Source organism: Homo sapiens, chromosome 19 (genome assembly GCF_000001405.40).
Source record: "Homo sapiens chromosome 19, GRCh38.p14 Primary Assembly".
Lineage (NCBI taxonomy): Eukaryota > Metazoa > Chordata > Mammalia > Primates > Hominidae > Homo > Homo sapiens.
Window position 1 is genome coordinate 40,190,285 of NC_000019.10, and position 25,710 is coordinate 40,215,994.

A 25,710-nucleotide genomic window follows, 5' to 3' on the forward strand; every position below is an offset into this window, starting at 1 on the left:
TTTTGAGACGGAGTCTTGCCCTGTCGTCCAGGCTGGAGTGCTGTGGCGTGATCTTGGCTCACTGCAACCTCCACCTCCCAGGTTCAAGCGATTCTCCTGCCTCAGCCTCCCGAGTAGCTGGGATAGATTACAGGCGCACACCACCACGCCCGGCTAATTTTTTTTTTTTTTTTTAAATAGTAGAGACGGGGGTTTCACCATGCTGGCCAGGCTGGTCACGAACTCCTGGCCTCGTGATCCGCCCGCCTTGGCCTCCCATAGCGCTGAGATTACAGGCGTGAGCCACCGCGCCCGGCCTGGTTGTTAATTTTTAAAACTGCCTTTCATTTTTGCTTTGCCATTTATAGCTCTGTAGCCTTGCACAAATGACTTCACTTCTCTATGAGTCATCTGTAAAATGGGGCTCTTTGTGAAGACTTAACGATACCACGTGTACAAAGCACTGAATACAACATGCACATTAAGCTCCCCGAAATTGAAACTCCTATAAAATAGGAATCGGGGATTCTCAAGAGCAGGAGTTCTGACTTCAGCAGAGGAACCCAGAGCTGGTGGGGAAAGCAGACGTGGCTGTGACATCCCCAGGGACACTAAACACATCCTCCCAGCCCCATCTTCCCCGCAGAGTCCCGCCACCGGCCCGACCCCTAACTTGCTCCAACCACCCGCCGACGCCCGCAGCCCGCTGTTTGGGGGCCGCCCCCTGCAGCGCCAGGTCCCCGCGCGGACTACAGTTCCCAGCGTACATCTCGGTCGGGGGGTCCGAGGGGCCGTCCTGCCTCAGGGATAAGGTCCAGGCTGCGTTCGCGGCTCCGGGCAGTCACAGTCATGCACGCAGCTCCTATTTTTCGCGTTGCTAATCGCGTCCGTTGCAGTCCAACCCATCCTGGGCCGCGGCCCCCACAGGGTCTGTGAGGAGCGCTTCCCCCCGCCCCGGGCGCCCGCTACGCCGCGTCCGAAGGAGGGGCCGAGGCCGGGCTCATCTCCCCGGGAGGACTCCTTCGGCTTCGTGGGGTGTCATGTCCATTGCGGCCCGAGGCTGGCCGCGGGGCTCTGCTGGAGGGCGCTGAGAGCCGGGCCCCGAGGCCGCACGGCCGGAGACTACAACTCCCAGGAGGCACCGCGGCGGCGGCGCCCACACGTCACTCGGGCCCCGCCGGTGGCCCGGGGAAGCAGCACGGGCGGGGGGCAGGGGCTGGGGCCGACCGGGAGGCCGGTGCCAAGGATGGGGGCCGCCCGGCTGCCCCGCGCGTGAGGAGGCCGAGGGGCGCGCCACCCCGGCCCGGGGCGGCCGCCCCAGGGGCCCCGCCACCCCCGCCCGGCCCGGCAGTCGTGGCCCGGGATGCGGAGCCGGGGGCCGCCGGTGGAGCTGCGCGGGGTGAGCGGCGCGGGGAACGGGGACTGCCTGCCGCCCTCGCCCTCGTCCCCCACCGGCGGACCCCGGCGGGCATTCGAGAGCCGCGCGGCCAGGCCCTCTTAGCCCTCTGCCGTTTGGGGGGCACGGGTGAACCTGCCGCCCCACTCCCACCCCGCCCCGCCCCGCCCGTACAGCCAAATCGGAAGGGACGAGCCTGCCCTTTGAAAGGGTTTTTTTTCTTGCTCCTGCGGAGGGCGCCCCAGCCATGGCCCTCAGGAGCTCCCTAGACCCCGCAGGGACTGCCCTCCATCCCGGCCGCCGGGGCCCGCCCTCTGCATCCCGCGGGCAGCCTGTGTGAAGCGGCCTCCCGCAGCCCCCGGCCCCTCCCCCATGGAGGAGGAGGAGGGGGCGGTGGCCAAGGAGTGGGGCACGACCCCCGCGGGGCCCGTCTGGACCGCGGTGTTCGACTACGAGGCGGCGGGCGACGAGGAGCTGACCCTGCGGAGGGGCGATCGCGTCCAGGTGCTTTCCCAAGACTGTGCGGTGTCCGGCGACGAGGGCTGGTGGACCGGGCAGCTCCCCAGCGGCCGCGTGGGCGTCTTCCCCAGCAACTACGTGGCCCCCGGCGCCCCCGCTGCACCCGCGGGCCTCCAGCTGCCCCAGGAGATCCCCTTCCACGAGCTGCAGCTAGAGGAGATCATCGGTGTGGGGGGCTTTGGCAAGGTCTATCGGGCCCTGTGGCGTGGCGAGGAGGTGGCAGTCAAGGCCGCCCGGCTGGACCCTGAGAAGGACCCGGCAGTGACAGCGGAGCAGGTGTGCCAGGAAGCCCGGCTCTTTGGAGCCCTGCAGCACCCCAACATAATTGCCCTTAGGGGCGCCTGCCTCAACCCCCCACACCTCTGCCTAGTGATGGAGTATGCCCGGGGTGGTGCACTGAGCAGGGTGCTGGCAGGTCGCCGGGTGCCACCTCACGTGCTGGTCAACTGGGCTGTGCAGGTGGCCCGGGGCATGAACTACCTACACAATGATGCCCCTGTGCCCATCATCCACCGGGACCTCAAGTCCATCAACAGTAAGTGGTGTCCTCTCCCCAAAATTCCTTCCACAGAACCTCTCAAGGCCAGGCCTAGGTGGTGGGAAACAGGGTGAGGGACACCAGATGACACTGTGCCTGGAGTGAGAAGGGGCAGCAGTATGATACCTTCAGGGTGAAGGTGAGGTAGGCCTTGCCTGCCTTAAGGGAGAAAAAGGAGGCTCAGAAAGGTTGAAGGACTTACCTGCCTCCCAGGCTGCAGAGTCACAATCGCTCAGTAAACATGTATCCATGAACACCTGCGTTCCCTGCATGAACAGGACAGATGCAGTGCCTGCCTTCAAGGTGCTTGCCATCCAGCCATGCTGCCAGAGTCCACCAGGCAGAGACAAAAAGAGCCTACCCCGTCTGGAGTCAGTGTCTCTCAACCCCAGCACTATTGGCACTTGAGGCCAGATCATTGTTGTAGGGGCTGTCCTGTAAATTGTGAGTTGCTTAGCGGCATCTTTAGCCTCTTCCCACTAGATGTCATTAGCATTCCCTGCCCCCTCTCCCCAGCTATGACAACCAAAAGTGTCTCCAGGCATTGCAAATGTCCCCTGGGGGGCAGAATCACCCCCAGTTGAGAACCATTTCCTGGAGTCTTCATAGGCCGAGCTGGCCAAGGCAAACTGGAAAAGATGAGGGAGGAATTAAATTGATGTGGCTTATATAAAAGCTTCCAGGCTGCCTGATAGGTTCTCCAAAGTTGATTGGTTGGTTGAATAAATAATGGAGCCAGGTAGAAGGGAACATTCTGCAAGACTCATTTCTAGATGGAAGAGCTTCATGTGGTGTCAACAAGTATTAATTGAGCACCTATTAAGCAGGAGCCCAGCTGGGAGTAAGACAGCCATGGTTTCTGCCCTGACAGTACTCACAGGCTAGCAATTTCATTCATTCATTCCACAGATATTTCCAGAGTGCTGTGTGCCAGACCCTGTCCCAGGGATACAGCAAGAAAAAAAAAATCTTACATTCCTGGCTCTCCCATTCGTGCTGTGCCCCATCTCACTCCCTTTCATTTCTTCATTCATTTGTTCATTCTTCCATTTGGTATTTACCAGGCCAGATCATGTGCTAAGCAAAGGCATCAGCAGTGGAGAAGGCCAGCATGTCCCCGGCCCTCACGTCACTCACAGTTAAGCCCCAAAATGTGAAGGTGCCCCCTTTGCTCTCAACACCCACATCTCATCTATTCCTGATTTCTGTCACTTCTACATCTTGAAATTTATTTTAATCCATCCCACTATTTTTAGGAATATATTGCTATTCCCCACCCATAGCAATTGTAAGCCCCTAGAATAGAGGGACTGCATCTTCCTTGCCTCCCAAGCCTGACATTTGTATATCAACAGAGAGCTTGGCTGGGCGCGGTGGCTCACGCCTGTAATCCCAGCACTTTGGGAGGCCGACGTGGGTGCATCACCCGAGGTCAGGAGTTCGAGACCAGCCTGACCAATATGGTGAAACCCCTTCTCTACTAAAAATACAAAAATTAGCTGGGCATGGTGGCATGCATCTGTAATCCCAGCTACTCAGGCTGAGGCAGAAGAATCGCTTGAAACCAGGAGGTGGAGGTTGCAGTGAGCCGAGATTGCACCACTGCACTCCAGCCTGGGTGACAGAGCAAGATTCCATCGCAAAAAAAAAAAGCTAACATGTGACCACGATGTGCCAGAGCTGGTGCTGTGTCTGGGGAACTGATGCTTATGCCCCAGCACCTCTGAAATGTTGGGTAAATGGAGGCAGGGCCACCCAGCATGCTCCTGTTGAAGGCTGGGACTCCTCAGCCCTTCCTCACCTCTGCTGATTGACAGCACGCCCCACACCCCCAGGTTTTTTGTAGCCAGTGCTATCTGGTCAAAGGGTCAGTGGGCCTCTTATGGCCAGGGCTTCCTCCCGGGGTGATGGGTCTGCTCTGTGCCAGAAACAGAGGACACAGCGCCTCCACAGCACTGCTTCCCCACTCATCCTACCCTAAGGAGCGCCTCATCTGCCATCATTCATTCATTGGTTCATTCCACCAGTAATTCTTAAGTGCCTACTCTTACTAGGCACTGCCTCAGCTCTGGGATTACAGAAGTGAACAAGGCAAGATTTCTCCCTCCCCCAGCTATGGAATTTATATTCCGGTGAACAGGAATAAATGATGGATAGATGGATACCAAAATTTCAGAGAGTATCAGGGGCTCTCAGTGGACTAAGGCAAAGGCTGGAGCAGAGGGTTCTCTTTATTTAGATCGGGTGGTCAGGGAAGGCAACATTTGAGCAGAGACCTGAACAAAGGGGACCCAGCTTTACAAAGATCTGGGGAAGGGGAACAGTGGGGCACATGCCCTGAGGTGGGAGTGAGTGTGTCTCACTGGAGAACAGCAAGACCAGAACAGCAGGCATTGAGGCAGAGATGGGAGGAAGTAGGATCAGAAAGGCTGGCAGGAGCCAGATCACATAGGACCTTGGGGGCCATGGTGAGGACTTGGGGTATTTTATTTGATGTAGTGGAAGCCATTAGAGGATTTGAAGCAGGGAGTGACATGATTACATAAAGATTTTGAAGGGGGACTGACTTAGGCCCAGCCTGGGAAATACAGAAATAAAGCATAAAACCATGAGATGTTCCCTCTGTCACAGGGTTTCGATACAAACAGGAGAGGTGGGGACCTAAGAAGGGAAAACTTCTGCAGAGGTGGAGTTACAGACTAGGAATTTACAGTGGGGGCTTCCAGGAGGAGGTAACACTGAAGCCCGCCCGGCCTTTTTTTTTTTTTTTTTTTTTTTTTTTTTTTTTTTTTGAGACAGAGTCATCTCACTCTGTGACCCAGGCTGGAGTGCAGTAGTGTGATCACAGCTCACTGAACCTTCCGCCTCCCGGGTTCAAGTGATCCTTCCACCTCAACTTTCCAAGTAGGCAGGGCTACAGGCGTGCGCCACCAAGCCTGGCTAATTTTTGTATTTCTAGTAGAGACGGTGGTCTTGCCATGTTGGCCAGGCTGGTCTTGAACTCCTGACCTCAGGTGATCCGCCTGCCTTAGCCTCCCAAAGTGCTAGGATTACAGGCATGAGCCACCGCGTCCAATCTGAAGCTGGGCTTTAAAGGATGGGCAGGATTATCAATTGTGTGACCCTGGGTGATTTGCCAATCTCTGCCACCTTCAGTTCCTTCATCTGCCAAATGGGCATGATAGTAGAACTACCTTACTATTATTATTATGACTGGGAAGTAGCCAGGAATGGCAAAAAGAAAAGTGGAGAAATTCGGAACAATTATGGCAATATCACACACTAATAATAACAGCTAACACTTTTAAAGGCCCTATTGCTTCAGGCAATAAATTTTTACTATAACGCTAGAAGGTAAATTCTGTTACGAGCCCCATTTCATAGAGGAGAAGTCTCGGTGTGAAGATTAAAGTAAACTGTACAGGGTTATGCACCTAGGAAGAAGCAGGGCTGAGACTCAAACCCAGGCAGCACACTGTATACTTTGGAGCCTCTATGTGATAGAAGGTAGTAAAATATCTCAGCAGTTAAGAGATTGAGCTCTGATGACAAAACTAATTCAAGCCTTTGTCCTGCCATTTTCTAACCATGTGACCTCTTGGCCAAGTGACTTCTGAGCCTCTGTTAGCTAGTCAAGAAAAATGGGTTGTGGCTGGGTGCAGTGGTTTACTCTTGTAGTCCCAGCAATTTGGGAGTCCAAGGCTGGAGGATTGTTTAAGCCCAGAAGTTTGAAGCTACAGCAAGCCATAATCACACCACTGCACTCCAGTCTGAGTGACAGAAAAAGACCCTGTCTCTTTATTTATTTATTTATTTCATTGAGATGGAGTCTCGCTCTGTCATCCAGGTTGAAGTGCAGTGGCACGATCTCGGCTCACTGCAACCTCTGCCTCCTGGGTTCAAGTGATCCTCTCACCAAAGCCTCTCAAATAGCTGGGACTCCAGGCACCCGCCACCACACCCAGCTAATTTTTGTATTTTTAGTAGAGACAGGGTTTCACTATGTTGGCCAGGCTGGTCTCGGTCTCCTGACCTCAAGTGATCCACCTACCTTGGCCTCCCAAAGTGCTGGGATTACAGGCATGAGCCACTGCTCCTGGCCAACCCTGTCTCTTTAAAAAAATAAAAAAGGGCTCGGGGTGGGGGTCATTCATGAGTCAATTCCTATAGAGAGCTTAGCACAGTACAAACACTAGCCATGATCCTCATGGCTGTTAGTGACAACCCGGGTAGAAAGTAAGCTAGAACCATCCAGTATGTTTAGGGAATACTTCAGTCAGATTTTGTCACGATCATGCTGTGTAATAAGCTACCCCCAAAACTCGGCATCTTAAAACAGCCATTGTGTATTACTGCTCCTGCATTTGCGGACCAGCTGGAGGGTAAACTGATGGAGGCTGGGCTCAGCTGGAGAGGCTTTGCTCCAAGTAGCTCTCATCTTCTTGGACAAGCAGGCTAGCTGAGGCATGTTGTCATGGTGATGACACAAGTGCAAGAGGGCCAGCAGACATGCAAGGCCTGGGCTTGGAATTGGCACCCTGTCATTCTTAGCCAAAGCAAGTCATACGGCTGAGCCAGAGTCAGGGTGCACTCTGCCTTTGTTTTTGTTTTTGTTTTTGTTTTCTCGGAGACAGAGTCTCGCTCTGTCACCCAGGCTGGAGTTCAATGGCGCAATCTCAGCTCACTGCCACCTCCACCTCCCAGGTTCAAGTGATTCTCATGCCTCAGCCTTCCAAGTAGCTGGGATTACAGGTGAGCACCATGATGCTCGGCTAATTTTTGTATTTTTAGTAGAGATGAGGTTTCACCATGTTGGCCAGGCTGGTCTCGAACTCCTGACCTCAAGTGATCCGCCTGCCTTAGCCTCCCAAAGTGCTGGGATTACAGGTGTGAGCCACCGTGCCTGGCCATACTCTGCCTCTTTAGCAGAAAGAATGGCAAAGTCTCATGGCAGAGTGTGGACACAGGAAGGGGTAGAATTGGGACCCTGACTGCAGTGTGCCACGGGGGTGATAGACACGAGGGGGAAGCCACGTTCCTCCCTTCTGCCCCAGGTTTGCACTTCCTGCTTCCAGGGTAGCTGGGAACTCAAGGCCTGGAGGACTAAGGCCTTGGCTGTTGTTTCTTTTTTTTGAGACGAGGTCTCACTCTATTGCCCAGGCTGGAGTGCAATGGCAAGACCATGGCTCACTGCAGCCTCAACCTCCCAGCCTCAAGTGATCCTCCCAACTTAGCCTCCCAAGTGGCTGGGACTGTAGGCATGCACCACCACACCCAGGTATTTTTAAAAAGTTTTTGTAGAGATGAGGTCTTGCCATGTTGCACAGGCTGGTCTCGAACTCCTGGGCTCAAGTGACCCGCTTCAGCCTTGGCTGTTGGTTCTTGACCATTCATGGAGCTCCCCAAAGCCCAGGACAGAATCAGGAGGGCAGAGGACACAGGAGGAGCTCCCTACTCCCTCATGGGAGCCTGGGACAGGGATTAGACCTGGGCGGAGGGGCTCATGGATGTTCCAGGCCAGGAAAGGACCTGCCACAGAGCGGGGCAGCCTGAGGCAGTGAGAGGAAAGACGTGTTTCTAGCTGAGGCAGCGGGCCAGAACACTTGGGTCTGCGGCGTGGCAGGTCTGGGGTGACCCACCTTTCTTCCCACCCCACAGTCCTGATCCTGGAGGCCATCGAGAACCACAACCTCGCAGACACGGTGCTCAAGATCACGGACTTCGGCCTCGCCCGCGAGTGGCACAAGACCACCAAGATGAGCGCTGCGGGGACCTACGCCTGGATGGCGCCGGAGGTTATCCGTCTCTCCCTCTTCTCCAAAAGCAGTGATGTCTGGAGGTGCTGAAAGGCGCGGCCGGGATGGCCTCTGGGGAGTAAGGGAGGGAGGAAGGGGTGAGGGCAGAGTGGGAGGGAGGGTCTCCTGCTGAAGCCAGGATCTCAGTCTGACAAAGGGACCTGCTGGCAAGGTCAGGCCACCAGACAAGTGCCAGTTACCTGTTCAGCTAGCACAAATGGCAACTAGGGGGCACACTGGATTAGAATAAAAAGCTCATAGGATCTAGAGACAAGGCCGGGCGCGGGGGCGCACACCTGTAATCCCAGCACTTTGGGAGGCCGAGGTGGGCGGATCACTTGAGGTCAGGAGTTTGAGACCAGCCTGACCAACATGGTGAAACCCCATCTCTACTAAAAATACTAAAATTACCTGGGCGTGGTGGCAGATGCCTGTTGTCCCAGCTACTCGGGAGACTGAGGCAGGAGAATCACTTGAGGCCGGGAGGCAGAGATTGCAGTGGGCTGGGATTGGCCACTGCACTCCAGCCTGGGTGACAGAGCGAGACTCTGTCTCCAAAAAAAGAAAAAATTTAAAAAAGCATAGAGACAGCACATGGATGCTAGCACTGAAAGCCCCCTCAGACACTAGCCCATGCACTGTCCCATCTGTCAGACAGGAAAATGATTAATTCACTCATTCATTCCTTCATCTAACTGCACCGGGTTCTAGGGATATAGCAGAGAAGAAAAATACATGCAATCCCTGCCCTCAGGAATAGTAAGTCAGTCAACATACAAGAAGCTCTTTTTTATAAAGCTGTTTTTTAAGAAAATTATAATTTTTAAAGACAAGTACACCAGAAAAAAGTGTTAGTACAAAGTGCGAGGAGGCTGAGAGGAAGGCACTTTAAGGGCTGGAAGACTACTTTTGGGAACGCTTCTCTGAGCAATCTGAGAAATGATACTTCATCTGAGTTCCAAGTGGCAAAAAGGAACCAGTCACGAAAAGTTTGGAGGAAGAAGGAGGTGCTGAGGTGAGCATGGTGTGTCCCAGAAACAGCAAAGAGGCCCATGTGGCTGCCACTGTGCAGGCAAGGAAGAGAGAGGTAGGAAATTATGTAGGAGAGGGAGCTGGAAGGCCCTGTGGGTGAGGGAGTGGCCTTCAGGTTTTATTCTAATGAAGTAGGAAGCCATGAGGAGCCATGTCTGAATAGAGTGGTAGCTCACACCTATAATCCCAGTACTTTGGGAGGCCAAGGTGGGAGGATCACTTGAGGCCAGGAATTTGAGACCAGCCTGGTCAATGTAGTGAGACCCCATGTATATGAAAAAGAAATTTTTAAATTAATTTTTATAAAAGGAAGTAAATAAAAACTCCTTTGGAGGCCGGGTGCGGTGGCTCACGCCTGTAATCCCAGCACTTTGGGAGGCCCAGGTGGGTGAATCCCTTGACACCAGGAGTTTGAGACCAGCCTGGCCAACATGGTGAAATCCCACCTCTACTAAAAATACAAAAATTCGGCCAGGCGCGGTGGCTCACGCCTGTAATCCTGGCACTTTGGGAGGCCGAGGTGGGTGGTTCACTTGAGGCCAGGAGTTCATTCAGGACTAGCCTGGCCAACATGGTGAAACCCCATCTCTACTAAAAATACAAAAATTAGCCAGGCATGGTGGTGGGTGCCTGTAGTCCTAGCTACTCAGGAGGCTGAGGCAGGGGAATTGCTTGACTGCAGGAGGCAGAGGTTGAGATGGCGCCGTTGCACTCCAGCCTGGGTGACAGAGCAAGACTCCATCTGAAAAAAAATACTTAAAAATAAAAGCTCCTTTGACTGTTAGGTAGAGACAGCCAATGATGGGTCTGTTGCTGTCACCAGTGAGAGTTGATGGTGGCCATGGAGACTTTCAACCCAGGACCTTCTGCTTGGTTGGAGCCAAACCTGGGTCTCCCCATTTACTGTTCCCGTCAATTCCCAGCTGAGGCTCCAGATTGTCCAAGCAGCAAATTAATGGGTATGGGACTGAGACAGATCAGACAGGAAGTCTCCAGCTCAGCCTAGAGCAGAGCAGCCCTTTGGGAGAATTTCCAACTGGCTGTACATCAGGCGTTCATTTGTGCTACCTTTTTTTTTTTTTTTTTTTTTTTTGGGACAGAGTCTCACTCTGCCGCCCAGGCTGGAGTGCAATGGCACAATCTCAGCTCACTGCACCCTCCTCCTCCCAGATTCAAGTGATTCTTGTGCCTCAGCCTCCCGAGTAGCTGAGATTATAGGCATGCACTGGCTAATTTTTATATTTTTAGTGGAGACAGGGTTTCACCATGTTGGCTAGGCTGGTCTTGAAGTCCTGACCTCAGGTGATCCGCCCGCCTCAGCCTCCTAGAGTGCTGGGATTACAGGCATGAGTCACTGCACCCGGCCGGGCAGGCTAATTCTTTCTGATGTGGTCCTGTCCTGTACTTAGCAGGATGCAGGATATCCACACCTCCCCGCCATAAACTTCAGTAACATTCTCAGTCATTATTACAATCACAGTAACCCCATAGGTTTCCAAGGACATGGGAGAGAGGGGTGGATCATGCTACCCTCCAGTTATAAACCACTGTTTCTCCCCCACCTTGTATGGTCTCCATTCTGAAGTTTACTTCATGATCCAAAATGACTGCTTGAGCTCCAGCGTTTTTTGTTTTTTTTTTTTTTTTGAGCTGGAGTCTTGCTCTGTCGCCCAGGCCGGAGTACAGCGGCGCGATCTTGGCTCACTGAAACCTCTGCCTCCTGGGTTCAAGCAATTATCCTGCCTCAGCCTCCCAAGTAGCTGGGACTACAGGCACATGCCACCAGGCCCAGCTAATTTTTGTATTATTTATTTATTTTTTTTAATTTTTCAGTAGAGACGGGGTTTCACCATATTGGCCAGGACAGCCTTGATCTCTTGACCTCATGATCTGCCCACCTGGGCCTCCTAAAGTGCTGGGATTACAGGCGTCAGCCACCGCACCCAGCCTTTTTTTTTTTTTTTTTTTTAACAGGGTCTTGCTCTGTCACCCAGGCTGGAGTGCAGTGATGCCGTCACAAATCATTGCAGCCTCAACCTCCTGGGCTCAAGTGATCCTCCCACCTCAGCCTCTCTAGTAGCTGGGACTACAGGCATGCCACCACACCAGGCTAATTTTTTGTAGAGACGAGGTCTCACTTTGTTTCCTACGCTGGTCTCGATCTCTTGGGCTCAAGAGGTCCTCTTGTCTTGGCCTCCCAAAGTGCTGACATTACAGGCGTGAGCCACTGTGCCTAGCTCCACACGCCAGCTTTTTTTTTTTTTTTTTTTTTAATTTTAAGTTCTGGGATACATGTGCAGAACGTGCAGGGTTTGTTACATAGGTATACATGTGCCATGGTAGTTTGCTGCACCCATCAACCCATCATCTAGGTTTGAAGCCCCGCGTGTGTCAGGTATTTGCCTAATGCTCTCCCTCCCCTTGTCCCCCACCCCCCAGGCTCCAGGTTTTATGTCTACATTCCAACCACAAGAAGGGGAAAAAAGGAAAATGGCACCCCTTCTTTTTATTTTTTGAGACGTAGTCTCACTCTGTCTTCCAGGCTGGAGTTCAGTGGCACGATCTCAGCTCACTGCAAGCTCCGCCTCCTGGGTTCACGCCATTCTCCTGCCTCAGCCTCCCGAGTAGCTGGGACTACAGGCGCCCGCCACCACGCCTGACTAATTTTTTGTATTTTTAGTAGAGACGGGGTTTCACCGTGCTAGCCAGGATGGTCTCAATCTCCTGACCTTGTGATCCGCCCGCCTCGGCCTCCCAAAGTGCTGGGATTACAGGCGTGAGCCACCGCGCCCGGCCTCATTTTCTTACCCATGTTGTTTTTGTTCCTGCGCTCCTGTGCCTGTCTGCTGTGCTGAGCTGCAGATGTGTCCTGCCGCGGCTTCGCAGGACAGGGATAAGTTGAGACAGGAAGCAAGAAGCCTTGCCTGTCAGGCTGCCCTTGGCATGACTAGAGTGTATGTGGGGATTTTCACCTCTTATTTTGGGGTCCATTCTGTTCCTTCTTTGAACAATAGTCTTTACAGGATAGGGTGTTTGGGGACAGATTTCATCTTATTTAAGATATAAATAATATAAAATTAACCCACTATAAATTTATTTTTCATTTAAAAAAATTTTTAAAAGACAGGCTCTCACTCTCCCACGCAGGCTAGAATGTGGTGGTATAGTCATAGCTCACTGCAGCCTTGAACTCTTGGGCTCAAGCCATCATCCCACCTCACACTCTTTCCCGGCCGGGCACCCCTTCTTTTTGAGGATACTTCCTGGAAGCTAGTTGCCTACTACACCCCCTCCTACATCCCATGTACCAGAACTGTGGTCATGTGGCATGCTTAGCTGCAAAGGAGAATGGAAAATTCATGCAGGCAGCATGTGGCCAGCTCAATTCACCAGCACTGTCACTGAAGAATGGGAGGCTGTCAGCTGCATATGGGGGCAGTGATTGTGTCTATCTCTTCCCAATGTCTAAAATGGTGCTTGGCACACAGTAGGCACTTAATAAGTATACGTTGAATGGGCCGGGCGCAGTGGCTCATGCCTGTAATCCCAGCACTTTGGGAGGCTGAGGCAGGCGGAACCTGAGGTCAGGAGTTGGAGACCAGCCTGGCCAACATGGTGAAACCCCATCTCTACTAAAAATACACAAATTAGCTGGGATGGTGGTGCACATCTGTAATCCCAGCTACTTGGGAGGCTGAGGCACAAGAATCACTTGAACCCAAGAGGCGGAGGTTGCAGGGAGCCGAGATCATGCCACTGCACTCCAGCCTGGGTGACAGAGACTTTGTCTCAAAAAAAAAAAAGGATATGTTGAATGAATGCATGAGTGGATAGTGGGGAGACCAGGGATCTACTCCAGGATAAACACCACACAGAATGGCCATCAGGATCTGGGAGGATGTAGAGTTTGCAGAGGAAGATAGCCTTGCAGGGACCACAGCACAGTGACGCACGCTCTGGTACCATGGAGCCACTGAGAGCACTGTCGTGGGCAGCAGGCAGACCTGAGTCCAAGTGTGGCTCCACCACTCACTAGCTGTGTGACCTTGGGCAAGCCCCTTACCTCTCTGAGCGTGTACCTGCTCATCAGCTAAAGCAGGGGTCATACCAAATCCTTCTGCCTTACAGGGCTGTTGTGAGGATTACCGAGTGCCTAGCACAGTGCCTGGCCTGCAGTAAGTGCTTTATAAATGTTAAATAATGTTAACTGGTTTTTAGAGGTAAGTGCTGAGTGTTTTGGGGAAACGTAGAGGAGGGGCCTCTAACCTAGCTTTGGAGGCTGTGGAATCAAGGAAGGCTTCCTGACAGAGGGGGCAACCTGTGTTGAGACTTGAGGGACAAATAGTTACACAAGGGAAGAGTGTTCTCCACAAAGGGAACAGCATGTGTGAAGGCCAGAGGTTAGAAAGCACAGGGCCTGCTCAGTATTCAGTGTGGCTGCAAGATGAAGTTGGGGTTAGAATGGGCTGAGAGTGTTTGGAAGTGAGGCTGCAGGGGTCATCAAAGGCCAGGGCCAAGAAGGATGGATTTAGGTGGGATGCAGTGGCTCATGCCTGTAATCCCAGCACTTTGGGAAGCCCAGGCAGGAGGATCACTTGAGCCCAGGAGTTTGAGACCAGCCTGGGCAACATAGTGAGACCTCCATCTCTACAAAAATAAAAATAAGAAAGATGGATTTGGCCAGTAGGAACACGGGACCTGAAGATTTTCAGGCAGGGGAGAGGGAAGACAGGCCGAGCAAAGGAGAGACATCAGAGAGCCAAACCCACCCCATCTATTGGAGAACAAGGCCATGGAGGTCAAAGCAAGTTCTTGTGACCTCATTGGCCGGGGGTGGCTGTTGGGGTGAGGGCAGCCCTGCATGGGACCAAGGGCAGGGCTGGGTATAGGTGAGGATTGGGGTGGGCTGCGACATCACCCCTCCCTCTCCCCTGCCTGCAGCTTCGGGGTGCTGCTGTGGGAGCTGCTGACGGGGGAGGTCCCCTACCGTGAGATCGACGCCTTGGCCGTGGCGTATGGCGTGGCTATGAATAAGCTGACGCTGCCCATTCCCTCCACGTGCCCCGAGCCCTTTGCCCGCCTCCTGGAGGGTGAGCCGGGGCCCCGTGACGAGGGTAGGCTCAGCTTGGAGTGGCAGGGACCTGTGGGCCCAGACCTTTCCCCTTCACACCTATCCATACCAGTGGGCCCAGGAGTGAGGAAGAAGGGGCTGGAACCCACTGGACTCTAAACAGCCTCCCCATGGTTGGCTCCATCCCCCACATCCCAGCCCTTGTTTGGGCCAGGCCCAGAGCTCTCAGGACAACCTGTTAGGATTCCTTGGCCCTGGGATTCCACCTTGATCCTGATTCCACTACCAGCCCCTCCTCGGGGTGCAGGTCCCAGGGTTTCTCTCCCAGCGTTTCACTGAGTGGAATTGGCCAGGAGCTTGGCTTTGAATCCCTTCCCCTCAGCTCCATAGCAGCTGTTTGTCTGCCATCCCCAGAAATTCTGCCTTCCTCTGAGCAGGCTGAGTCCCCAGAGCATGACCACTGACACCTCCATGCCCCACCACTGTCCTTCCTCCTCCCACCCCAGAATGCTGGGACCCAGACCCCCACGGGCGGCCAGATTTCGGTAGCATCTTGAAGCGGCTTGAAGTCATCGAACAGTCAGCCCTGTTCCAGATGCCACTGGAGTCCTTCCACTCGCTGCAGGAAGACTGGAAGCTGGAGATTCAGCACATGTTTGATGACCTTCGGACCAAGGAGAAGGTGAAGGCAGGGGGCAAGGTGGGAAAGATGGAGCAAGACCCCTGAGTTCTGATGCCTTGGGCTGCTCAGAGACTCCTCCCCTGAACCCCAGCCTTTGGGTCCATGCAGGGTCAAGGGAGCCTTTTTTGCATATTAAGAAAAGACAGCCTCCTGTTGGTGGATTAATAAGAAAAAGGCACCCTGTACTGAAGTACTTACAGGTGACACTGCATGATGTCTGGGGTTGGCTTTAAAATACTACAGCAGAAACGAAGAGAGGGCAAGAGGAGAGAAGGACGGGGATACAAGATTCGCAAAGCATAGGTAATTGTTGAAATTGGATGATGGGTACAGGGGGGTGCACTGTTCTCTGCTTTTGTGGATGTTTGAAGTTTTCTAAATTGAAGAGTTAAGAAAGAAAAAGAAAGAAAAAGCACCCCTTTCTTTGAGCTAACACAGTTCCCTGCCCTGGCACCCAGCTTGGCTAGCAAAGCATGAGTCGGGTGGTGAAACCAGTGTACCCCACAGCAAGGTACCCTTGTGTGAGGCACCAACCAGACGCAGCAGCCCTGGGTCCCTCCCCAGGAAGCAGAGCAGCTAAGCCCCTCCCCCCAGCCACCGCCTCTCCTTCCCAGGAGCTTCGGAGCCGTGAGGAGGAGCTGCTGCGGGCGGCACAGGAGCAGCGCTTCCAGGAGGAGCAGCTGCGGCGGCGGGAGCAGGAGCTGGCAGAACGTGAGATGGACATCGTGGAACGGGAGCTGCACCTGCTCATGTGCCAGCTGAGCCAGGAGAAGCCCCGGGTCCGCAAGCGCAAGGGCAACTTCAAGCGCAGCCGCCTGCTCAAGCTGCGGGAAGGCGGCAGCCACATCAGCCTGCCCTCTGGTACCCACCCGTGTCCCCAGAGCGCCCCCCAAGAGGCTGCTGGGAGCAGCCCCGACCTAGGATTTATCTCTTCCTTTTCTTTTTCAACTTGTTTTTATTGCTAAATATATCGCACATAGTCAGTGATCAGCCCAGTGCAGTGGCGAGCACTTGTAGTCCCAGCCTACTCAGGAGGCCAAGGTGGGAGGATCACTTGAGGCCAGAAGTTTGAGACCAGCCTGGGCAACATAGACCCCATATTTACCAAAAAAAAAAAAAATTTTTTTTAATTAGCTGGCCACGTTGGCATGCACTTATAGTCCAAGCTAGTGGGGAGGCTGAGGTGGGAGGATCACTTGAGTCCAGGAGTTCGAGGCTGCAGTGAGCTGTAATTGCACCACTGCACTCCAGTCTGGGCAGCAGAGCAAGACCCTATCTCTAAAGGGAAGAAGAAGAAAAAAAGAAAATGACCAAAAACCTGTACAGCCAAATGAGTTACTCTAGTCACCCCCATGAAAGCAGAGAGAACCTCACAGCCATCCCAAGTGCTTTCTACCTGCCCCTCCAGACAACCTCACACCATCCCCTGAGAGGAACATCTGTCTTGACACTTAGGACAGTCACTTCTGAACTTTCTTTTTCATGTTATCTCTCTTTAAAAATATCTTTTAATCTGGCCAGGTGCAGTGGCTCACGCCTGTAATCCCAGCATTTTGGGAGGCCAAAGTGCGTAGATCACTTGAGGCTAGGAGTTCTAGAGCAGCCTGGCTCTAGAACATGGTGAAATCCCGCCTCTACTAAAACTACAAAATTAGCTGGGTGTGGTGGTGCACACGCCTGTAATCTCAGTTACTTGGGAGGCTGAGGCACAAGCATCGCTTGAACCCGGAAAGCAGAGGTTGCAGTGAGCCGAGATTGTGCCACTGCACTCCAGCCTGGGTGACAGAGTGAGACTCTGTCACAAAATATATAATTAAGATATACATATATATGCTGATATTTGACCATTTTTTTACCTACAAAAACAGAAGTTTCACATGGATCAACCTAATAGTTGGATCTCAAGACTTAATCAGATTCAGATTCAGGTTTGATTTTTTTTTTCCCCACACTGCTTCCCAGGTAATGCATTCAGGAGGGAGGCACGTAGTGTCTACTTGTCTCTTTCTGTGATGTTACAAGCCAGAAAGCAGTGCCTTAAGCAGCAGTGGCCAGTGGAAATATAATACAAGCCACGTGTATAATTTTAAATTTTCTAGTAAGCTACACATAAAAGCAAAAAGAAATAAGAGATGTCAATTTTAATATTTTTTATTAGGCCAGGTGGGGTGGCTCACGTCTGTAATCCCAGCACTTTTTGGGGCTAAGACGGGCAGATCACCTGAGGTCAGGAGTTTGAGACCAGCCTGACCAACATGGAGAAACCCCATCTCTACTAAAACTACAAAATTAGCCGGGCGTGGTGGCGCATGCCTGTAATCCCAGCTACTCAGGAGGCTGAGGCAGGAGAATCGCTTGAACCTGGGAGGCAGAGGTTGCAGTGAGCCGAGATCGCGCCATTGTACTCCAGCCTGGGCGACAAGAGCAAAACTCCATCTCAAAAAATATATATATTTTTTAATTTAGCCCAATATATCCATGCAATCAATACAAAATAATTGTGAGATATTTTACCTTCTTTTTTCACACTAAATCTTTGAAATCCAGATGTATTTTATATTTATGGCACATCTAAATTTGGACAGTAAATTTTCATTAAAAATTTTTTTTTTTCTGAGATGGGGTCTTGCTATATTGCCCAGGGTGGTCTTGAACTCCTGCGCTCAGGCAGCGCTCCCACTTTGGCCTCCCAAAGTGCTGGGATTACAGGTGTGAGCTACTGTACCTGACCCATCAAAAATATTGGATCTGTATTTAGATTTCATAAAAGTTAGAGTTGAAAAAGTACATATACATACCCAAGTTGCTCCAAACATGCTTAAATGTTTCCAATAACCAAATGGAGTACCTGTTTTTTGTTGTTTGTTTTTTTGTTTTTGTTTTTGTTTTTTTTGAGATGGAGCCTCGCTCTGTCACCCAGGCTGGAGTGCAGTGGCATGATCTCGGCTCACTGCAAGCTCTGCCTCCCAGGTTCATGCCATTCTCCTGCCTCAGCCTCCTGAATAGCTGGGACTACAGGCACCCGCCACCACGCCTGGCTCTTTCTTTCTTTTTTTTTTTTTTTTTTTTTTTTGTATTTTTAGTAGAGACAGGGTTTCACCGTGTTAGCCAGGATGGTCTCAATCTCCTGACCTCGTGATCCGCCTGCCTCGGCCTCCCAAAGTGCTGGGATTACAGACATGAGCCACCGCGCCCAGCCCCCATACCTGTTTTTAAAATTTAAACTCAAATTGCGGTAATTACAATAAAATAAAGAGTTGGCTGGGCATGGTGGCTCACACCTGTAATCCCAGCACTTTGGGAGGCGGATGCTGGAGGATTGCTCGAGGCCAAGAGTTCAAGACCAGCCTGGTCACCACAGTGAGAACTCATCCTTTATATATATATATATATACAGTTTAAAAATTAGATAAATAAAGGTTAAACTCCAATTCCCCCATTGCACAAGCCACATTTCAAGGTGCTCAGCTGCTACACGTAGCTACTGGCGGCCATATTGGACACTGAGGCCTAGGTCCTTGATCCACAAGAGCTCTTGTGCTTGTACTTATTAAACCACAGTCCATTGCTGAGCCTCACCCCAACTTGCTGATTCAGGGAGGGCCCAAGAATTTGCATTGCCAAGAAATTTTCAGCTGATGGTGATGCTGCTGTTCTGGGGCCCACACTCTGAGAACCACTGCATTAAGGAATGAAAAATGGCGGTGTTCCCATTCTAGAATTCCTTCTCTACTTCTACAGAAGAAAATTCCCTTTGGTAATCCCTGGAACCATTTGCTTAGGAAAGCTTCTCTTTCTTTCTGCAGGCTTTGAGCATAAGATCACAGTCCAGGCCTCTCCAACTCTGGATAAGCGGAAAGGATCCGATGGGGCCAGCCCCCCTGCAAGCCCCAGCATCATCCCCCGGCTGAGGGCCATTCGCCGTGAGTATCTCCCAAGGCCCTGACCAGTCAGTCAGTCAGTGAACAAACATTTTTTAGCACGATGTTTATACCTGGCACCAAGCCAGAGTAACAGCAAGAAAGAAGACAGACAAGGCCCTTTTCCTCATTCTTATCACAGGAAACAGATAGTAAACAAATAAGTCAGTAAGCAGGATAATTTCTTTTTTTTTTTTTTCTTTTTTTTTGGAGACAGACAGAGTCTCGCTCTATCTCCCAGGCTGGAGTGCAGTGGTGCAATCTTAGCTCACTGCAACCTCCGCCTCCTGGGTTCCAGCGATTCTCCTGCCTCAGCCTCCCGAGTAGCTGTGGTTACAGTCACACATGACCACGCCTGCCTAATTTTTTGTATTTTTAATAGAGATGGGGGTTTCACCATGTTGGCCAGGCTGGTATCGAACTCCTGACCTCAAGTGATCCACCCACCTCAGCCTCACAAAGTGCTGGGATTACAGCATGAGCCACCGCGCCCGGGCGCAGGATAATTTCTAGTAGTGATAAGTTCTTTAAAGGAGCTCAGGGAAGGGAATAAAAGAGGAGATGTATTAATCGGAGTTCTTCAGAGAAACAGAATCAACAGCATATGTTTAGATATATAGAAAGAGATGTATTGGCTGGGCACGATGACTCATACCTGTAATCCCAGCACTTTGGGAGGATGAAGTGGGAGGATTGCTTGAGCCTAGGAGTTCGACACCAGCCTGGGCAACAAAGCGAGACCCCATCTCTACTTAAAAACAAAAACAAAGGCCAGGCGCGGTGGCTCACGCCTGTAATTCCAGCACTTTGGGAGGCCGAGGCAGGCGGATCACGAGGTCAGGAGATCGAGACCATCCTGGCTAATACGGTGAAACCCCGTCTCTACTAAAAATACAAAAAGTCAGCCAGGTGCTGTGACAGGCACCTGTAGTCCCAGCTACTCGGGAGGCTGAGGCAGGAAAATGGCATGAGCCCGGGAGGCGGAGCATGCAGTGAGCCGAGATAGCGTCACTGCACTCCGGCCTGGGCGAAAGAGCGAGACTCCGTCTCAAAAAAAACAAAAACAAAAACAAAAGAAATAGATGTATTATGAGGGATTGGCACATACGATTATGGAGGCTGGGAAGTCCTGCAATCTGCCTTCTGCAAGCCAGAGGTGCGGGAAAGCCGGTGATGTAGTTCCAAATCAAGTCCAAAGACCTGGCCCAGCACGGCGGCTCACGCCTGTAATCCCAACACTTTGGGAGACCGAGGCAGGTGGATCACCTGAGGTCAAGAGTTCAAGACCAGCCTGGCCAACATGGTGAAACCCAGTCTCTACTAAAAATGCAAAAATTAGCTAGGCGTGGTGGCGCATGCCTGTAATCCCAGCTACTCGGGAGACTGAGGCAGGAGAATCACTTGAACCTGAGAGGCGGAGGTTGCAGTGAGCCGAGATCGTGCCACTGCACTCCAGCCTGGGCGACAGAGTGAGACTCAGTCTCAAAAAAAAAAAAAATTGTCCAAAGACCTGAGAACCTGAACACCAATGTCCAGTGTCTCAGGGCAGGAGAAGATGGATATCCACGCTCATGCAGAGAGCAAACTCACCCTTCCTCTGCCTTCCTAGACAAAAAGAGCTAACTCTCTTTTTGTTCTGTCTGGGCCCTCAGTGGATTGGATGGTGCCCACCCACATTGGCGAGGATGATCTCTCTTTACTCAGTCCACTGATTGAAATGCTAATCATCCAGCAACACCCTCACAGAAATCATGTTTAACCAGCTACCTAGGCGTCCTTTGGCCCAGTCAAGTTGACGCATAAAATTACCCATCACAGAAGGGTTGCGATTTTCCATCTGGAAGCCCTATGGGAGGAGGTGAGGTTTGAGCAGGGACCTTCCTGCTGAGTGAGACAGGCTGAGACCTCAGGGAAGCATGCCCCTGGCGGAGGGAGCAGCAAAGGCAAAAGCTGGAGGTGAGAACAGCATGGGCTGCTTGTTAACCTGTTTGGCTGGAGCAGAGTGAATGGGAGGAGGACATAGGTTTTGTGATCAGGGAGTTCTCAGGGGTCAGATCAGGCAGGGCCCTGAGAGCAGGATAAGAGTCTGGATTTTCCTTTCTTTTTTTTTTTTTTTTTTAATTTTCATTTGACACCTTTGGTATGGATTTTTTTGTTTTTAATTTTTGTTTTTAGTTCTGGGGTACGTGTGCAGGATGTGCAGGTTTGTTACATAGGTAAACGTGTGCCATGGTGATTTGCTGCACCTGTCAACCCATCACCTAGGTAGTAAGCCCATGCATTAGCTATTTTTCCTAATATTCTCCCTCCCCCACCCTACCCCCCAACAGGCCCCAGTGTCCGTTGTTCCCCTCCCTGTGTCCATGTGATCTATTTGCTCAGCTCTCACTTATAAGTGAGAACATGCAGTGTTTGGCTTTCTGTTCCTGCATTATTTTGCTGAGGATAATGGCTTCCAGCTCCATCCATGTCCCTGCAAAGGACATGATCTCGTTCCTTTTTATGGCTGCATAGTATTCCATGGTGAGACAGACGCTCGCTCTGTCTCCCAGGCTGGAGTGCAATGGTGCGATCTCAACTCACTGCAACCTCTGCCTCCCAGGTTCAAGCGATTCTCCTGCCTCAGCCTCCCAAGTAGCTGGGACTACAGGCCTGCACCACCATGCCTGGCTAATTTTTGTATTTTTAGTAGAGATGGGGTTTTCACCATGTTGGCCAGGCTGGTCTCCAACTCCTGACCTCAAGTGATTCTTCTGCCTGGGCCTCCCAAAGTGCTGGGATTCCAGGCAAGAGCCACCGCACCTGGCCTGGTATGGATTTTCTTTTAACTGCCCTGGGGCAGCCCCCAGAGCCATGCGAGCAAGGCACTGAGGGAATCAAATTGACCTTTTTCCCTCTGGCTGCTGTAAGAAATAAAGGTGGAGAAAGCAGTGAGATGATGGAGGCCAGGCCAGGGTGGGGGACTTGGAAGGGACAGATGTCCACAGTCGGGGCTATATGGCAGAGACACGGTCATCGGAGTTTCCTGGTGGGTTGAAGGGTGAAAGGCTAGCTCCCAAGTTCCAACACCTCATTCACCCCAGCACTGTCCCCACCCACAGCCCCCCTGCCCTCTGTCTGGGCACCTGCTTTGTACCAGGCCCAGGAGGTCAGTCCTGCAGGGGACACAGAGACAAATACCCATACCATGGCAGCAAACACTGGCACCAGATAGGTCCAGAGCATTGCAGGTACAGAGATGAAGGCAGCTGACCCCCAGGGAACTAACTACCCAGAGCTGGAGACCAGAAGCGCAGGCAGCCCGCCAGAATGAATGGTGAAGGGTTAGGCTGTGAAGAGGAGGGGAGGCTGGAGGAGTTGGCAGGGAACCGCTCATGGCCTTCAGTGCCAGGCGGAGGAGCTGGAACCTTGTCCTGACAGCAGTAGGGGGCTATGGGGAGATATATAGCAGGGAGGGTCATGACTGGAGTTCAAAAGAGCCCTTGGACTCCCAGGCGGAGGGTGGGCCTGAGCTGGGGGCACTGGAGGCTGGGAGCCCAGTGGGGACAGATCCTCCACCCAGTAACCAAGTGGCTTCTCTGGACCCAGTGACTCCCGTGGACTGTGGTGGCAGCAGCAGTGGCAGCAGCAGTGGAGGAAGTGGGACATGGAGCCGCGGTGGGCCCCCAAAGAAGGAAGAACTGGTCGGGGGCAAGAAGAAGGGACGAACGTGGGGGCCCAGCTCCACCCTGCAGAAGGAGCGGGTGGGAGGAGAGGAGAGGTGAGGTGTGGTGTGGTCATGCCCACCCTGTGCCCAAGCCCCAGCTCCCAGGCTCCAGGCCACAGGACTGAGGTCTCCATCTCTCCCTGGACCCCGCAGGCTGAAGGGGCTGGGGGAAGGAAGCAAACAGTGGTCATCAAGTGCCCCCAACCTGGGCAAGTCCCCCAAACACACACCCATCGCCCCTGGCTTTGCCAGCCTCAATGAGATGGGTAAGAGCCTGGGTTCTTGTAAGGGGGTGGGGGTTCCCTGGCCAAAGGGGTGAGCCTCCTGGGGCTGAGCGAAGAGACCAGGTTTCACTGGGCCAGTGAGTGGAAGGCCTTCCTGGGAAGGGAGATGGTGGCCCCTGGGGCGTGGGGGGTCATTTCCAGGGGCAGGGACCACCCTTCTCTGAGGCTTCTCCTGGAGACAGATTCAAGAACGATGCTCGTGGGTCTTGGTCTTGCTGTTGGAGGGGTCATCGGGGGCTGTCCCTTGGCACAAGTCCCCGTGGGGCCCTGGCCAGCCCTGCAGCGGAGTGATGGCCCTCTCCGGTTGCAGAGGAGTTCGCGGAGGCAGAGGATGGAGGCAGCAGCGTGCCCCCTTCCCCCTACTCGACCCCGTCCTACCTCTCAGTGCCACTGCCTGCCGAGCCCTCCCCGGGGGCGCGGGCGCCGTGGGAGCCGACGCCGTCCGCGCCCCCCGCTCGGTGGGGACACGGCGCCCGGCGGCGCTGCGACCTGGCGCTGCTAGGCTGCGCCACGCTGCTGGGGGCTGTGGGCCTGGGCGCCGACGTGGCCGAGGCGCGCGCGGCCGACGGTGAGGAGCAGCGGCGCTGGCTCGACGGCCTCTTCTTTCCCCGCGCCGGCCGCTTCCCGCGGGGCCTCAGCCCACCCGCGCGTCCCCACGGCCGCCGCGAAGACGTGGGCCCCGGCCTGGGCCTGGCGCCCTCGGCCACCCTCGTGTCGCTGTCGTCCGTGTCCGACTGCAACTCCACGCGTTCACTGCTGCGCTCTGACAGTGACGAGGCCGCACCGGCCGCGCCCTCCCCACCACCCTCCCCGCCCGCGCCCACACCCACGCCCTCGCCCAGCACCAACCCCCTGGTGGACCTGGAGCTGGAGAGCTTCAAGAAGGACCCCCGCCAGTCGCTCACGCCCACCCACGTCACGGCTGCATGCGCTGTGAGCCGCGGGCACCGGCGGACGCCATCGGACGGGGCGCTGGGGCAGCGGGGGCCGCCCGAGCCCGCGGGCCATGGCCCTGGTGAGTGAGGCGCCCTGCACCCAGGTCACAGAAAACCCCTTCTTTCCTCCTCTGCCAGGGTCGCAAGTCCAGCCCAGCCACGACCCCTCAGGCAGCCACCTCCTGCTTCTTGTGGAGGAGGGAGGGTCTGTGTCCCTTTACCGCTCACTCCTGGAGGCATCGGGGGTCTCCAGGGGACTGAGACACAGGCGGCAAACTGATGCCTATAAGGCCAGGCAGGTGCCTATAGCGGTTGTGACCAGCATGACCATCGCCAATTCTTACACAGCCTAGACACTGTTCTCCTCCATCTGTTAACTGGGTGGGAGATGCGGCCATAGCAGTGTTATTAAGTACCCACGTCAGGCACTGTGCTGCTTGTTTTAAGTTATGGTTATTCTATTTGCTCCTCACCTGCGTGGTGAGGCACCATTTTTATCCCCCTTCAGAGCTAAGCCATGCCTGAGCTTAGCCCAGTGCAGGAGAGTCGGGAAGACCAGGGCTTTGGCCCCCGAGGCTGCCGCTAAGCAGCAGTTCCAGAAGGTTGAGGAACATGCCAGGGTCCACCCAGAGGAGCAAGCAGCTGGGAGTGGTCCCAGTCTAGGTCAAGGTCCCAGCACTGCCACACTACAGATGGAAACTGGATGCAGCAAGATCCACGGATTTCTCGAGAGAAACCAGAACTTGTGCTTTTCATGTAACAGCTCTGGGCTTTTTAATGCCACCCTCTGCCCCACCCCACTCACCTCCTCTGAACCTCTCTTACCAGGCCCTCGTGACCTTCTGGACTTCCCCCGCCTGCCCGACCCCCAGGCCCTGTTCCCAGCCCGCCGCCGGCCCCCTGAGTTCCCAGGCCGCCCCACCACCCTGACCTTTGCCCCGAGACCTCGGCCGGCTGCCAGTCGCCCCCGCTTGGACCCCTGGAAACTGGTCTCCTTCGGCCGGACACTCACCATCTCGCCTCCCAGCAGGCCAGACACTCCGGAGAGCCCTGGGCCCCCCAGCGTGCAGCCCACACTGCTGGACATGGACATGGAGGGGCAGAACCAAGACAGCACAGTGCCCCTGTGCGGGGCCCACGGCTCCCACTAAGGCCTGCCCACCACCGCCCGCCTGGGCAGCCATGAATGTAGCGCCCCAGGCCCTGCCCCAGCCCGCCATGCCACAAGGTGGGGGAGGCCCTGGGCAGGATGTTCACTCTATTTATTGGGGAAGGAGGGAGGGGGGGGACACTTAACTTATTCCTTTGTACCCCAGGGGGTGGAGCCCTGTGCCCACCCTGCACTGGGGGGAGGGTGGGCAGGGATACTCAGGGACAGGGCATCATGGGGGATTTGGCACAAAATGGAGCATTAAAGGTAACCCCTGCCCCCTACCGCACTTGATTGTGTTCCTTTTTCCTTTTTTTTTTTTTTTTTTTTTTGGAGACAGAGTCTTGCTCTGTTGCCCAGGCTGGAGTGCAGTGGCACCATCTCAGCTCACTGCAACCTCCGCCTCCTGGGTTCAAGTGATTCTTCTGCCTCAGCCTCATGAGTAGCTGGGACTACAGGCTCCCGCCACCACACCCAGATAATTTTTGTATTTTTGGTAGAGACAGGGTTTCACCATGTCGACCAGGCTGCTCTCAAACTCCTGACCTCAAGTGATCCACCCATCTCGGCCTCCCAAAATGCTGGGATTACAGGCGTGAGCCACTGCGCCTGGCCTAGACTGTTTCTTTCCCTGGCCCAGGCCCTGATGCTGGGTCATCCCAGTGGAACATTCCCCCCGACCCCACACACCCTCCCTGGGCTT

At 53.7% G+C, this 25,710-nt stretch overlaps 1 protein-coding gene across 5 annotated transcripts, besides 4 other annotated features; it reads left to right on the forward strand.

Moving 5' to 3' along the window:
• Window positions 370-609: an enhancer, noted in NCBI's record as "active region_14641". NCBI's record gives its function as "activates an Ori minimal core promoter by ATAC-STARR-seq in GM12878 lymphoblastoid cells {active_cell/tissue: GM12878}" and the evidence as "EXISTENCE:reporter gene assay evidence [ECO:0000049][PMID:35858748]".
• Window positions 770-1,269: a silencer, noted in NCBI's record as "silent region_10616". NCBI's record gives its function as "represses an Ori minimal core promoter by ATAC-STARR-seq in GM12878 lymphoblastoid cells {active_cell/tissue: GM12878}" and the evidence as "EXISTENCE:reporter gene assay evidence [ECO:0000049][PMID:35858748]".
• MAP3K10 (mitogen-activated protein kinase kinase kinase 10) lies at window positions 1,142-25,291 on the forward strand. Of its 5 annotated transcripts, none has more exons than XM_011526981.3 (10): window positions 1,142-2,429; window positions 8,091-8,271; window positions 14,201-14,373; window positions 14,837-15,012; window positions 15,627-15,873; window positions 18,819-18,935; window positions 22,521-22,692; window positions 22,792-22,904; window positions 23,233-23,937; window positions 24,686-25,291. In XM_011526981.3, exons 1-10 carry the CDS (start codon window positions 1,748-1,750, stop codon window positions 25,006-25,008), a joined length of 2,889 nt encoding a protein of 962 aa, XP_011525283.1. In that variant the 5' UTR covers window positions 1,142-1,747; the 3' UTR covers window positions 25,009-25,291. The 5 variants fall into 5 exon arrangements, with proteins under 5 accessions (XP_011525283.1, NP_002437.2, XP_011525284.1 ...); NM_002446.4 differs by having other exon boundaries at window positions 14,201-14,349; XM_011526982.4 differs by lacking the exon at window positions 24,686-25,291 and adding an exon at window positions 24,366-24,617.
• Window positions 1,540-1,839: a silencer, noted in NCBI's record as "silent region_10617". NCBI's record gives its function as "represses an Ori minimal core promoter by ATAC-STARR-seq in GM12878 lymphoblastoid cells {active_cell/tissue: GM12878}" and the evidence as "EXISTENCE:reporter gene assay evidence [ECO:0000049][PMID:35858748]".
• Window positions 15,708-16,228: an enhancer, noted in NCBI's record as "H3K4me1 hESC enhancer chr19:40711899-40712419 (GRCh37/hg19 assembly coordinates)". NCBI's record gives its function as "activates a minimal SCP1, AML or CMV promoter by ChIP-STARR-seq in primed H9 embryonic stem cells {active_cell/tissue: H9 hESC(primed)}" and the evidence as "EXISTENCE:reporter gene assay evidence [ECO:0000049][PMID:30033119]".
• Window positions 25,292-25,710: the final 419 nt, after the last annotated feature.

Coding starts and splice junctions, on each gene's coding strand:
- MAP3K10 (XM_011526981.3), top strand. CDS start 1,748: ATGGAGGAGGAGGAGGGGGCGGTGGCCAAGGAGTGGGGCACGACCCCC. Junction 2,430..8,090: donor GGACCTCAAGTCCATCAACA/GTAAGTGGTGTC, acceptor CCCACCCCACAG/TCCTGATCCTGGAGGCCATC. Junction 22,905..23,232: donor TGCCAGCCTCAATGAGATGG/GTAAGAGCCTGG, acceptor CTCCGGTTGCAG/AGGAGTTCGCGGAGGCAGAG.